Source organism: Homo sapiens, chromosome 19 (genome assembly GCF_000001405.40).
Source record: "Homo sapiens chromosome 19, GRCh38.p14 Primary Assembly".
In the NCBI taxonomy this organism is placed as follows: domain Eukaryota; kingdom Metazoa; phylum Chordata; class Mammalia; order Primates; family Hominidae; genus Homo; species Homo sapiens.
The window spans coordinates 44,200,820-44,215,924 of NC_000019.10; the positions used below are offsets into that span (position 1 = coordinate 44,200,820).

Here is a 15,105-nt window from a genome sequence, read left to right on the forward strand (position 1 = left end):
ATGACTCAAGAACTTGAGTATCTTTTTATTTGATTATTGAGTATTTATGTCATCTTTTCTGAACTATCTGTTCAGTTATTTTTACATTTTTCTGATTTGTTTGCCTGACTTTTCTTACAGATTTTAGGATTTACGTATTCTTATATGCTCAGGATATGAATCTTTTGTCACATATATGGTTTACAAATTTTCTCAATTTGAGAATTACCTTTTCATTTTCTCATTGGTGCCTTAATTAAGAGAAGTTCTTCATTTTTAAAATAATCTAAGTCACCTAATTTTTTAAAAATTGTGGATTATTTTGGTCTCATATAATATTTTTTTCCACTTCAGGGCAACAAACAGGTTCTTTTGTTTCCCTAAGTGTCATTGCTTTACTTTCCAAAATTAGATCTGCATTTTTTCTGAAAGTTATATTTGTGAATTCTGTGAAGTACAGACGAATATATATTTTCCCATGTGGATATCTAATTGATGAAGAAGCACATATTAAAAAGAATTTTTATAATCTGTACAGTAGCATATTCTTTTCACAAATGAAATGACAGTATTTACTTTGATCTACACTCTATTCTCTTCCTTTATCTATATATCTTTAAGCAAATGCCACACTGATATTGTAGCTTTATAATATGATTAGATATCTCATAAAGTAAGTCTTCCATTTTGTTATTCTTTCACATTATCTTGACTATTCTTAGCTCTCAGATTTTACTCCAAATTTTTATAATATTTGTATCAATTTCCAGAAAAAATTCTAGTATTTTTATTGGGTTTGCATTGATATGATGGATTACTTTGGTGAAGAATATTGAGATGTTTAAAATATTAAATTGTCTATCCATAAATATTATTTATTATAATTATTTTAAAGGTTTTTTGTATATGCAGGAAAATAAAAGCAGATCTTTACCTAATAATATTTACATAGATTTCAAAAGGATTAAAGGGCCTAAATGGGAAAGGTAAATGTAGAAAGTTAATTTTTTTAATGTAGGAGAATATTCTTGAAACCTAGGACTTTCAAAAGCACAGAAATTAAGGAAAATGCTTATTAAATTTCTCTCCTCAAAATTAAGGATGCTTATTCAATGTGAGACACAGTATATGAATATTAAAATCAAGTACAGGTGCCAAGACAATTCAATGAAAAAAGAACAGTCTGTTCAACAAATAGCAAATAGTGCTAAGAAAACTGGATGTGCACATGAAAAAGAATGAAGTTGGACCCCCTACTTTACATCATATACAAAAATTAACTTATAGTGGGTAAAAGGCCTAAATGTAACAGCTAAAACTATAAACAACTAGATGAAATCATAGATATAAATCTTCATGACCTTGAAATAGGCAATGGTTTCTTAGATATGACATCAAAAGCACAAGGAACAACAAAAAATAAATGAATGAATTGGAACTCATCAAAATGAAAAACTTTTGTGTATCAGTGGATACCATCGAGAAAGTGAAGACACCAACATGGGTGAACGTATTTGTAAATCATATATCTGATGAGACTTGTAGCTAGAATACATAAATAACTCTTACAATTCAACACTTTAGAAAGACAAATAACCCAATTAAACAATGGGCCAAAGTATCTGAATAGACATTTTTCAAAAGAAGACATATAAATGCCCAATAGGCACATGAAAAGATGGTCAATGTCATAAGTCATTAGGGAAACGGAAATCAAAACAACAATGAGATATTGCTTAGCCACCAGATTGGCTACAGTAAAAAAGACAGATAATAAAAGGGTTGCCAAGGGAGTGGAGAAATTGGAACCCTCATACATTGTTGGTGGGAATGTAAAATGGTGCAATTTATTTGGCAAACAGTCTGGCAGTTTCCCAAGGGTTTAAACATAGAGTTATTATATGACTCAGCATTCCACTCCTAGATATACAACCAAGAGAAATTAAAACTTATGCCTACACATAAGCTTGTACATAAATGTTCAAAACAACATTATTAATAATAGCCAAAAGTAGAAACAATCCAAAATAGCCATTAATGAATAAATAAGATGTGATGTATTCATCCAATGGCACATTATGTAGCCATGAAAAGAAATGAATAACTGGTTCATGCACCAACATGGATGACCCTTCAACATGTTATGCTAAGTAAAGTTCGTTTCAAAAGACCACGTATTGTGTGAGTACACTGACAGAAAATGTTCAAAATATGTACATCTACAGAAAGTAGATTAGTGATTGCCTAGGGCTGAGGAGTTTGGGAAAAATTGGAAGTGACTGTTAATGGGTATCAGGTATCTTTTTGAGATTATGTAAATGTCCTAAAAATTGATTGCAGTGATAGTTGCACAACTCTCTGGATATAATAAAATTCATTTAACTGTGCTCTTTAAATGGGTAAACTGTATCCATTATATCTCAATAAAGTTTCTATAAGAAATATCAAAAAATAGCTCTCCCTCTCCCTCTCCCTCTCCCTCTCTCCCTCTCTTCCCTCCCCCTCTCCCCCCTCCCTCTCCCCTCCCCCTCTCCCCCTCTCCCTCTCCCCTTTGCACGGTCTCCCTCCCATGCCGAGCTGATACGAGGCTGGACTGTACTGCCGCCATCTCTGCTCACTGCAACTTCCCTGCCTGATTCTCCTGCCTCAGCCTGCCGAGTGCCTGGGATTGCAGGCGTGCGCCGCCACGCCTGACTGGTTTTTGTATTTTTTGGTGGAGACGGGGTTTCCCCCTGTTGGCCCCCCTGGTCTCCAGCTCCTGACCACGAGTGATCTGCCAGCCTCGGCCTCCCGAGGTGCTGGGATTGCAGACGGAGTCTCGCTCACTCAGTGCTCAATGTTGCCCAGGCTGGAGTGCAGTGGCGTGATCTTGGCTCGCTACAACCTCCACCTCCCAGCCACCTGCCTTGGCCTCCCAAAGTGCCGAGATTGCAGCCTCTGCCTGGCCGCCACCCCATCTAGGAAGTGAGGAGCGTCTCTGCCTGGCCGCCCATTGTCTGGGATGTGAGGAGCCTCTCTGCCCGGCTGCCCAGTCTAGGAAGTGAGGAGCGCCTCTTCCCTGCCGTCATCCCGTCTAGGAAGTGAGGAGTGTCTCTGCCGGGCCGCCCATCATCTGGGGTGTGGGGAGCGCCTCTGCCCCGCCGCCCCGTCTGGGATGTGAGGAGCGCCTCTGCCCGGCTGCGACCCCGTCTGGGAACTGAGGAGTGTCTCTGCCCCGCTGCCACCCTGTCTGGGAGGTGAGGAGCGTCTCTGACCCGCCATCCCGTCTGAGAAGTGAGGAGCCCCTCCGCCCGGCAGCCGCCCCATCTGGGAAGTGAGGAGCCTCTCCGCCCGGCAGCCGCCCTGTCTGGGAAGTGAGGAGCATCTCCGCCCGGCAGCCACCCCGTCCGGGAGGTGGGGGGCAGCCCCCGCCCGGCCAGCCACCCTGTCCGGGAGGTGGGGGGGGCGCCTCTGCCCCGCCGCCCCGTCTGGGAAGTGAGGAGCCCCTCTGCCCGGCCGCCACCCCGTCTGGGAGGTGTACCCAACAGCTCATTGAGAACGGGCCATGATGACGATGGCGGTTTTGTTGAATAGAAAGGGGGGAAGTGTGGGGAAAAGAAAGAGAGATCGGGTTGTTACTGTGTCTGTGTGGAAAGAAGTAGACATAGGAGACTCCATTTTGTTCTGTACTAAGAAAAATTCTTCTGCCTTGGGATGCTGTTAATCTATAACCTTGCCCCCAACCCCCTGCTCTCTGAAACATGTGCTGTGTCCACTAAGGGTTAAATGGATTAAGGGCAGTGCAAGATGTGCTTTGTGAAACAGATGCTTGAAGGCAGCATGCTCGTTAAGAGTCATCACCACTCCCTAATCTCAAGTACCCAGGGACACAAACACTGCGGAAGGCGGCAGGGCCCTCTGCCTAGGAAAACCAGAGACCTTTGTTCACATGTTTATCTGCTGACCTTCCCTCCACTATTGTCCTATGACCCTGCCAAATCCCCCTCTCGGAGAAACACCCAAGAATGATCAATAAATACTAAAAAAAAATAAAAATAAAAATAAATAAATTAAAAAAATTTAATAAAAAACAATCAATACATCAAAAAAAGAAATATCAAAAAATACCAAATAGTAGGTATTGCTGTGTCTCAAATGCATAAGGTATTAATATTCGTGGTATATAATCCAAGTGAACAAGGAAAATATAGCACCCATAACAGAAGAAAAGGGCATAAATATACAGTTTACAGAATAGGCTGTAAAGTATTTTGAAGAAATGCTCAAACTTATTAAAAATCAGAGAAATTTGATTAAAACAGTGAAATACCAGTATGTGTTTAATGGAGTGGCAAGACATAGGATGATGGTTCATGGCAAATGATGGTATGGAAATGGGTGGTTATACAACAAACTGTATTCAGTGCTCATGAGAATGTGGAATGGTTTAACCATTCAGGAGAGCAATATAGCTATTAATATTATTTGTAAATGTGTAAGTATATGACTCTGCTATGAACCAACAACTACACTTATGGATATGTGTCCTAAATAAATTGTCACACATTTCTATGAAGATGTATAGTGATGTTCCTAGCATTGTTATTGCCAATGGCAATCCAGGTTTCTGTCATGGAATAGTAAAATATTTTGGGTGTAAACAATTAGTTCTATAAAATAGGTTAATGTATGCTAGAAACATGGATGAATCTTTAAAACATACTGCTGAGTTTTGAAAGTCTTAACATTTATTTTTATGACATAATACCACTTATATAAACTAAAAGTGTGCACACACAACCACATCACATGCACTTTGCACAAAACACACACAAAGAGAAACACAACAAACAAAATATGGGGCTGGGGGAGGAAATGAAAGTGTTCCATAGGGAAAAGAAAGGAATAAATAAATAATAAAATTATTTTGACCAAGTTGCTAGATATAAGCTTCAGTACAATTTGATTAGAAGTGGTGATATTCAGCATTTTCTTCCCATTCTCATTCTCAGAGATAAATTTTCAACATTTTGTTAATTGTTGTGTATGTTCATTTTAGTTTTAAGTGGGAATTTATATTTCTTAAATGTATCATCATAATGTTCCTCATAATATTCTCAATATATTTAGTGATGTTCCCTTTTACTTCTGAAACTGGTAATATGTCATTTCTGTCTTTTTTGTTTACTGTCACTGGACTTTGTCAGTTTTATTGTTCTATTTATAGAATGATCATTTTACTTTTTAAGATCCACTCCATTTCGTTTTCTATTTCATGTATTTCCTATTATCTTGATCATTTCTTTCCATCTACCCACTGTGGTTTTGGTATTTGTTTATTGAATTCCTGAGATAAATGTTTTTATTTTTTTGTTCAGCTTTTCTCCTGTTTTAGGACAGATGCTCCTCAACTTACAGTGGGCTCACATTCTGATGAACTTACCTACCGTAAGTTGAAAGTATCCTAAGTCGAAAATGCATTTAATACACCCAATCTACCAAACATCATAGCTTAGGCTAGCCTGCCTTAAAGGTGCTCATGACGTTTATATTAGCCCCCAGTTGGGCAAGGTTTTTTGTTTTGTTTTGTTTTGAGAGGGAGTCTCGCTCTCTCGCCCAGGCTGGAGTGCAATGGCTCGATCTTGGCTCACTGCAACCGCCGCCTCGCAGGTTCAGGTGATTCTCTTGCCTCAGCCTCCAGAGTAGCTGGGACTACAGGTGCGCACCACCACGCCCGACTAATTTTCATAGTTTTAGTAGAGACAGGGTTTTGCCATATTCTCCAGGGTGGTCTCAAACTCCTGACCTCAGGTGATCCAAGGGCAACGTTATCTAGCAAAAAGAAGCTTATTTCATAATAAAGTGTTGAATATCATATAATTTATTGAATAGGTATTGAAAGGGAAAAACAGAAGGGTTGTATAGGTACTGTACTGAATGTGTGTTGCTTTCACACCATCATGAAGTCGAAAAATCTTAAGTGAACCATTGTTAACTCCAGGACCTGTATATGATTTCAAGGCTTTCTATGTTTCCTTCTAATCATGTATTAAAAGCTCTCCTGTTTATCAGTGTTTTTCTCCTTATGAGTCTGTCAATCAATTTTTCTTTATAAAGTTTGCTTTACATTATGTAAGGCTGTTATAGTTGATAGAAAATTTTCATTACTATGAAGTGTTTCTTTGTATATCTTAAAATGTTCTTTTCTTCAAGGACTATTGTACTTTGTCCAATATTAATATATTTTAAAATTAGAGAAAGAATATGAGGCCTAGGACGATAGTCTCTTTCTCCATTAGAATATTTTTGTTTATGTCAGGTACCTGCAAACACTAACAGAAAAGGTTTACTTTAATCTATTTTCAGGTACGAATGTGATTTCAAGTTTTGCTTCAGTCCCCTAGTGAAGATGATCTATTTGCCCTTTATCTTTACTCCTGTAGTGCAGCTCTTTGGGTTTTACTAGGTACCCTTCTCCCGATCCCCAACTTCTTCCCCAAGGCCCTTGAACAACAGAATCGGTAGGTACCACCAAGACAGACACTTCCACTCTAAAATTGCAAATCTTGGCTAAGATTTGCTCTGGCTTTCTAGGATACCCGGAAGCTCAGGTTACTCGGAAGTATTTCCGCTCCAAGGAGCGGAACTATGGCCGGTTTCCCCTGGGGCATTCTGGGAAGTGTAGTCAGGGGCCCGCGTAGCCTGGGGCACTTCCGCTTTTGGATGGCGGAGCTAGGGAATTGTGGGAAGTGATCCGGGGTTTCTCTTTAGTTGCTGGGAAGTTTTTTCGCTCTAGGAGGGCGAAAACAAGTGTTTGGATCCGCTGGGACCCTCCAAGTTTTCTCAGCCTCGTCAGGGAGCAAGCGGGGCCCTGGCCCTCGTCTGGAGGAAGGCTAGAGAAGCTGTGGCCAGCTGGGAGGCTGGAGTTGGGAGCAGTTTGTGTTCTTTCCTCTCGGCTGAGCCTCACGTTTGGAGCAGTTCTTGCGTCCCCGGGTTGGGAGCGTCCTGGATCGGTTGTCGCTTGGTTAGAGGGTCTCCTGGCGTTCCGCAGCCAGCCTCTCCCACCTACTTGCCAGCTCTGCCACTTACTAGTGTTATAACGTTTTGTGAGTTAATCTTAATCTTTCTCTATCCCATTCTCCTCATTCCTGAAGTAGAGTCATTAGTAGGAGGTCCTTGTACTTTTATACGAATTATTCATTAAATGTCCAAAATACCGTTATGTGGTAGGTACCACTTATGTTCTAACAGAGAGACGAAGATAATAGACCTCTCCACACAATGTAGAAAAGAAAGCTGTCTTATTACTGAATAAGGACAACCACTGTATAGTATTGTAGGCAATCTAAAGAAAAATATTATTAAAAAATTCCGCCCTATGTGTACAGTCAAGCAGTTTTAAACTTTTTATACAATTCTACTTTTGACCACTATGTACATCAGTTCTCAAGATTAATGATTTTTCAATAAGAGGACTTGGTCTCATCATTTACTGCAAATTCTTTTATAAATTTATTCTAAATTTACTTGAGAATCCAGTGTTAGTTAACTAACTTTATCGAAAGTAATAAAACTTCTCTTACCTCATCTGCTAGCCGATTTACAGTTTAAAGAGAGGCACCTTGGTTAAACTCTTGCAGTGATAGGGACAGTGGGTTGTTATTTTCTCAGATGTTTATATTCAAAAGGGACAAATCTCAGAACTTTCACAAATACTTCTAGGTTGTAAACCTGGCTAGAGGCTTACATAGCCGCTAATGAAATTTACATGCGTATCAAAAGGTTAGAGAAAGGATTCAGAAGCACTAGGTTTCTTATGGAAATGCTCTAAGAAAAAGAAGAGGGAAGACGAACCCTAAAACGTACAGTTAGTAAGAGGCAGAACGTCCATATGAACCCAAGAAGTTGGAGCCTCAAGTCTGTGTTCATATTCTCCACGCTGTACATTTTTCTTAGAACCATATGAAATAATCGTGTATATGGTTTGTGGAAGTCTTTTTCTATCAGGTTTGGAAGGTGATCTGGGGCTTTAGAGTCTATATTCTCCTTATAGAAATAATGCATGACCATTATAGAGAGATTAGAAAATACAGAAATGTATAAAAGGAAATGAAAGTTACCCATATTCACTGCTGTATATTTAAACAATTAGCTGGGTGTGGTGGCACATACCGATAGTCCCAGCTACTTGGGAGGCTGAGGTGGGAGGATCGCTTGAGCTCAGGAGTTTGAAGCTGCAGTGAGCTATGACCACGGCACTGCACTCCAGCTTGGATGACAGCGAGACCCCGTTCCTTTAACCCATAATCTCAGGATTTAGAGATAACCACTGCTAACATTTTAAATGCATTTATGCATTGGTGCCATACCACCCACATGGTATTTCTCTAATTTTTCTTGTAGAAATTCCCAAACATGCACATACAGAAAATAGTGTTAATGACCCCCACCCCGCCATCATTTGTCTTTAACTCTTGTAAACATTTTGTCTATCTTATTGCATCTATTACTCTTCTCCCACATATGTTTTTGGTGGGAAGAGGAGGAATTTGACTATTTAAAATCAAAACCAAATCCTAGTCAGTCGGTAGAAATTAAAAGTAATTAACATAAAGTAATTATGAATGAAGAGCAAAGGAAAGCAAATAACTTCAGGGTTTTCTTTCCTGGCAACTAGGAGGAAGGTAGTTATGTGAAAAACCTAAAGGAGAGGGAATCATTGAGATTTGGAAAGGAATAGTTATGAATTTGGCTTCTTTATTTGGAATGTTTTACTCAGGGTCTTTTATTTATTTATTTATTTATTCATTTTTATTTATTTATTTTTGAGACGGAGTCTCGCTCTGTCGCCCAGGCTGGAGTGCAGTGGCGCGATCTCGGCTCACTGCAAGCTCCACCTCCCGGGTTCACGCCATTCTCCTGCCTCAGCCTCCTGAGTAGCTGGGACTACAGGCGCCCATCACCACACCCGGCTAATTTTTTGTATTTTTAGTAGAGACGGGGTTTCACCGTGTTAGCCAGGATGGTTTCGATTTCCTGACCTCGTGATCTGCCCACCTCGGCCTCCCAAAGTGCTGGGATTACAGGCGTGAGCCACAGAGTCCGGCCTACTCAGGGTCTTTTAGATCTGATCTGTTTCTCCCTTAGGCTGCATGTTACTTTGTTGCAGGAACTATGTCCCATTCTTTACCATGTGCTTAGCACCCAGCACAAGACTGGTAAGGAGGGGTTTAGTGTTTGTGGTTTGTGGAGCTGCCCAGTATCTTGAAATGGAAACCTGCAGATCATTTAGATTGTATTCAGAATTCCCAAAATGGATTTAGGAAAAAATAAAAGGAAATAATGTCAATATTAGTGACTCTTTATCTCACTTTTGGTGGGATGCATTTGCATAGTCTTCTAGTTTTTTTCCCAGTAATCAAAAGTTGATGCATGGTTATTGATAATATTTTAGTGATCAAAGCAAATTTTTGTAGAAACCTTCCATCCATAATTTATGTGTCCTGTGTTTATCCCCTGAGGTTAACATTTGCTAACTTTTTATAGGGTAGTCATGAATCAGGCAGAATTTCCAGTGTTTTACATGTATTTATTCATTTGTACTTGATATCAACCCTATTATAGTCTCCATTTTACAAATGAAGAAAAAGGGGACAGAAGAAATGGAAGCACTAGTATTTTAATCTAGATAGCTTTATACTAAGGCTGTAATATTAGCTACTACACACTACTTTTATTAGTCTACAAGGCAAGAACCCACAGTAAGTCTTATTAGAGCAGGGAATATTTAAGCTATGGATGAAGACCGTCACCCAGGAGGGAAAAGAGTAGCAGGTTATGACAGAAGGAACACCAAATACAAAGAATTAGAGGCTTTTTGTAGGAGTACAAGTAATCCACTATGGCTGGACATGTAGAGTGGAAAGTGGATTCCAAGAGAGAAACAGCATCTGGAAAATTCCTGTTTGTGCGACTTGTTAAAGCATTTGAACCTTCTCTTAAGGGCACTGGATAGACATGCAGGTGAAAATAATCAAATTTCCATCTTAGGAGATATACTTAACCTCTCTCTGCCTCTGGATCCCAAAGAGTAAACTAGAGGACATTATTTGTTTTAAAAAAGTTGTGAAAATGGGCTAAGTGTGGTGGCTCATGCCTGTAATCCTAGCACTTTGGGAGGCCGGGGCGGGTGGATCACCTGAGGTCAGGAATTCAAGACTAGCCTGGCCAAGATGGCAAAACCCCGTCTCTACTAAAAATACAAAAATTAGCTGGGCGTGGTGGGGAGGGGGGTGCCTATAACCCCAGCGACTTGGGAGGCTGAGGCAGGAGACTTGCTTGAACCTTGTGTGAGGGCGGAGGTTGCAATGAGCCGAGGTCATGCCACTTCACTCCAGCCTGGGCAAAAGAGCCAAACTCTGTCTAACAACAACAACAACAACAACAACAACAAAACAGAACAAAAAAAAAAAGAAAAAAGTTGTGAAAATGTAGTGAGGGTCCCATAGTCTGAATAGTTTGAACTAGTTCCTGGCACATACTTGGTTCTTTATAAGAGATAGTTGTATATAACAGAATAAAGAATATATATTTAGTAAATGAGAACTGCAAACATGTACTGTAGTAGATATGTGGATATTTTTAGGTATTGCTCTCTTCTTTCAACCCTCAATTCTTGGAAACATCAATTCCATTATACATTTAAGCAAATAAAGATCAAGGTTTAAACACTGAAGTAATAAATTTGTTCATCTTTCAAATTCAGAAACTCCTTGAGGAATGATTACAGAGGCCCTAGTTGCTTTGTGGAGTTGATCTACCATATGCCAAAGCTTGTGTTTTCTATGTCTAGCTATCCTCAGTAAGCAAGTTGTTCTGAATTATATGACTGTGCTATTAAGAAAAGTGGAAATCCATAATATATTCTGCCTTCGTTGCATTTTTTGATTGCTCTTTCATTCTTTTAGTATCTAAAGAGTAGTTTTTCTATTAGTCGATCCTGTTAAATGTAAAAACTTAAAGGGTTTCCTCTGCCCTTTTTTTTTTTTTTTTTGGAAGTGGTGGGTATAATTCTATTAGTACAGGATCACGTGATCTGTTTCTTATAATAGTTTTTTTTTTCTTTTTTTTTTTTTTGAGACAGAGTCTCACTCTGTCGCCCAGGCTGGAGTGCAGTGGCACGATCTTGGCTCACTGCACCCTCCAGGGTTCAAGCGATTCTTATGCCTCAGCCTCCCAAGTAGCTGGGACTACAGGCGCGCGCCACCACGCCCGGCTAATTTTTATATTTTTAGTAGAGACGGGGCTTCATCATATTGGCCAAGCTGGTCTGGAACTCCTGACCTCGTGATCCGCCCGCCTCGGCCTCCCAAAGTGCTGGGAGTCTTTTTTTATTTTAGGGCTCCAATTCTTCACATATTTGCTGTTACTTTTTGTTAATAAGAAAAACCTAAATTCCACTGACATCAGAGAACTGCTTCAGCCTGGCTAAACAGCAATAAGCCGTGAAGAGGATTCTGGATGTTGTAGTCCGGGAGCTCCGAGAATTTTGTCACACTCTCCGTAACCCTCTCTCACTCGCTCGCTCCGTTTTTTTTTTTGTTTTTTTTTTTTTCAAGCGCGAAGAGGGCGGCACCTGGATGGTTTTTCCTTCTGGAAGTTCTGGGAAACGTATTCCAGAACTCTGTCCGGAAACAATTGGGCCGCAGGAGCGCGGGCCTTCTGGGAAGGGTAGTTCAGGAGCTCTGGGCAGGCAGAGCCACTTCCGCCCCGGAAAGCGAGGCCGCCACCATCTTTTGGGTCCGGGAGGTGAGTCAGCCCTGCACCCCCACGACCCCTCTTGAACCTTTTCAGCCTGTGCTTGGGAATAGGCGCTCCCCAGCCATCAGTCTTGGGATGGAGAGGTCGCGGCCGCGGCGGAGGCCGAGAGGCCGAGGGCGGGAAGTTTGCTCTCCTCCCGCACTTGGCAAGCAGCGCCGCTAGTTCTGTGGGTATAATAAACAGCGAGTTACCTATGATCCGCGCTCCTGTTTCCTCATCTTTAAAATAGCAATAAAGATAGTCGTTACTGTGTAGGGTTGTAATTAGAATTAAACAAGATAATACGGGTCAAACCTTAGAACAGTGGTGGCACCTGATACTGGGTTGGCTCCTGCTATTGATACAGTGATTCCCTCACAAGCGCCCTTTTTACTGGAAGCTCCAGTGAAGAGAGAAGAAAAGTCAGGGCTTTATGCCATGGCCTTTCTGTCGTATCCTTCAGGAGACCGAGCTCTTCCCGAACTTTTACAGATCTTTTTTTTTTTTAAGAAGGATTGAGTCATCGGGCTCCAATGCGTGGGGATGTTTACCGCCGTTTATCCGGGATAGAGACTCCATCGTGCTGACAGCATCCTTTTATTCACCGCCTCCGAATTTGCAAAGAGGAGGAAGGAGGGACTTCTTGGCTTCTCCCAGCATAGCCCCAGGTACCTGCTCTTGAACGCACTTTGTTGTTCCATTTTCTGTCCTTTCAGTTAATCAAGTTTCCGTCACTCAGTAAGTTACTACTGAAAAATGATGAAATATTTGTTGAATAAATGTGAGAGTGGGTAGGAAAACTACTTGGAAATGAGTATTACCAATAACATCTTACCACTTTGATTTTAAGGCATTCGTCTGTGGACCATAGCTATTGATGAAGTAGGTCTTGTTATTTTGTTATGAGGAAATTAGGCAGAGTTTATGTTATTAAATACTTTCCCGAAGTTATTCAACTGATAGTAAGAGGTGGATTTGGGATTGAACCCAAGCATTCCTTTTCAGACTGTGTGATCTTTTTTGTTTGTTTTTGTTTCTTTGGTTTTTGTTGTTGTTTATTTTCTATTCCTTTTTCTGAGTCTGTGGTCTTAATCTCAATGATACAGTCGTCTTCAGTTATCTTAAATAGTAATCCATATGGCTACCGGTGAGTCGTTGGAAATCAGCCTTGGGAATGTAGGTATGGATTTTACTGTGGAAGACCTCAAAAACTGCACTGATGAATTTTGAATTTTTTAGAAAAATCCTGCAACATCTCACTTACTTAATTTCATTCCATGTCAAAATATGTCATATTCTAGTTATAGAAGTAATGAATGCTCATTATAGAGATGCACTATCCAATCCAGTAGCTATAAGCCATGTGTGCCCTAGGAGCACTTGAAATGTGTCTAGTCCAAATTGAGATGTGCTGTAAGTGTTAAATACACACTGGATTTCAAAAACTTTGTACAAAAAATGTAAGATGGCTCATTGATAATTTTTTGTATTATATGTCAAAATGGTAATATTTTGGATACATTGGCTTAAATTATGTTGTTGAAATTAACTTCACCTATTTTTGTTTTTGTTTTTTTGCCTTTTTTATATGTTACTGCTAGAAAATTTAAAATTATTTATGTGTCTCAGTATATTTCTATTGGACAGTGATGTTATATTCAGAAAACTTAAATTACTTATAATAAAACTGCTAACACTTTAATGTGTTTCCCTTTAGTATATGCTATGGATGTTTCTCAAAATAGGTTTGGTATTCTGTGTAGTAGTTTTTTTCTTATTATGAAAATTTTCTTTTTTCTTTTTTTTTCTTTTTTTTTGTGAGATGGAGATTCACTCTTGTTGCCCAGGCTGGAGTGCAGTGGCGTGATCTCAGCTCACTGCAACCTCCACCTCCCAGGTTCAAGTGATTCTCCTGCATCAAGCTCCCGAGTAACTGGGTTACAGGTGTGCGCCATCACTCCCAGCTAATTTTTGTATTTTTAGTAGAGACGGGGTTTCACCGTGTTACCCAGGCTAATCTTGAACTCTTGACCTCAGGTAATCCGCCCACCTCGGCCTCCCAAAGTGCTGGGATTACCGGCGTGAGCCACTGCGCCCAGCCGAAAAATTTCAAGCATATTCAACTGTCAAAAGAGTGGTGCAGTGAATTCCACGTAACCAACACTCAGGTTCAACATTTGCTGCAGACCATCTCCTCCTCCTTCCACCCCACTTTTTTTTTTTTTTTTAAATTAGAGTGTCTTAAAGCAGGAGTCCCAACTTCTGGGCAGCGGACCTGGTACTAGTCTGTGGCCTGTTAGGAACCTGACAGCACAGAAGGAGGTGATTGGAGGGGTACCGCCTGAGCTCTGCCTCCTGCCAGATCAGCAGGGGCATTAGATTCTCATAGGAGGGACTGCACATGTGAAGGATCTAGGTTGTGCGCTCCTTATGAGAATGTAACTAATGCCTCATGATTTGAGGTGGAACCTATCATCCCCAAACCATCTCCCCCGCCCCCATCCGTGGAAAAATTATCTTCCGTGAAACTGGTCCCTGGTGCCAAAAAGGCTGCAGATGGTTGTCTTAAAGCATACGCCAGACATCAGGTCAGTTTTTTTTTTTTTTTTGAAACGGAGTCTCGCCTGTCGCCCAGACCGGAGTGCAGTGGCGCCATCTCGGTTCACTGCAGCCTCTGCCTCCCGGGTTCAAGCGATTCTCCTGCCTCAGCCTCCCGAGTAGCTGAGGTCAGTTTTTTTTTTATTTTCTACCATGACCTCTGAAACTGAAGCTGTAATTTGCCATTTGCTCAGTACAGTATATCTTTTTTTTGTTCTTTTTCTTTCAAACTTTTTTGTCATTATGTTTTCGTAGTGTCTTTTAGAATATATATGTATAATTTTTTTTTTTTTAGTGCAGTCTGGGATAATTTGCTTTTACTATCTGTGTGTATATTTTGTTCTCCTTTCTTGTCTTTTTTTGTTCAGTTTATTCCCTTTTATTTGTGCTCAACTGGTCTGGAGTTTATATGGTTTTGTGTCATTCTTCTAACTTTAAAAATATTCTCTTTCTTAGCAAATACTAAACTTAATCAGCATGTGTTCTTATTCTGAAGAATATTGAGACTAAAAAAAATCTGAAAGAAGATGGGGCCAGGTGCGGTGGCTCATGCCTGTAATCCCAGCACTTGGGGAGGCCTAGGCGGGTGGATCACCTGAAGTCAGGAGTTTGAGACCAGCCTGGCCAGCATGATGAAACCCCGTCTGTACTAAAAACACAAAAATTAGCCAGACGTGGTGGTGCGTACCTGTAATCCCAGCTACTCAGGAGGCTGAGGTGGGAGAATCGCTTGAACCTGGGAGGCAGAGG

At 40.6% G+C, this 15,105-nt stretch overlaps 1 protein-coding gene across 22 annotated transcripts in view, besides 2 other annotated features; it reads left to right on the forward strand.

The window, feature by feature from the left end:
• The first annotated feature begins 6,727 nt into the window (after window positions 1-6,727).
• The window catches only part of ZNF227 (zinc finger protein 227), a 29,722-nt gene continuing 21,344 nt past the window's right edge, over window positions 6,728-15,105 (forward strand). For 7 of the 22 annotated variants that reach the window (NM_182490.3, XM_011527290.1, XM_006723371.1 and 4 more), the window contains exons 1-2: window positions 11,713-11,766; window positions 12,271-12,425. The gene's annotated coding sequence lies outside the window, so the exon portion shown is untranslated. Of the gene's footprint in view, window positions 7,065-11,712; window positions 11,945-12,249; window positions 12,426-15,105 lie in introns of those variants that run through there. The other 15 variants (NM_001289166.2, XM_047439378.1, XM_047439381.1 and 12 more) reach the window with 6 other exon arrangements.
• Window positions 6,850-6,949: an enhancer, noted in NCBI's record as "active region_14758". NCBI's record gives its function as "activates an Ori minimal core promoter by ATAC-STARR-seq in GM12878 lymphoblastoid cells {active_cell/tissue: GM12878}" and the evidence as "EXISTENCE:reporter gene assay evidence [ECO:0000049][PMID:35858748]".
• Window positions 6,960-7,009: an enhancer, noted in NCBI's record as "active region_14759". NCBI's record gives its function as "activates an Ori minimal core promoter by ATAC-STARR-seq in GM12878 lymphoblastoid cells {active_cell/tissue: GM12878}" and the evidence as "EXISTENCE:reporter gene assay evidence [ECO:0000049][PMID:35858748]".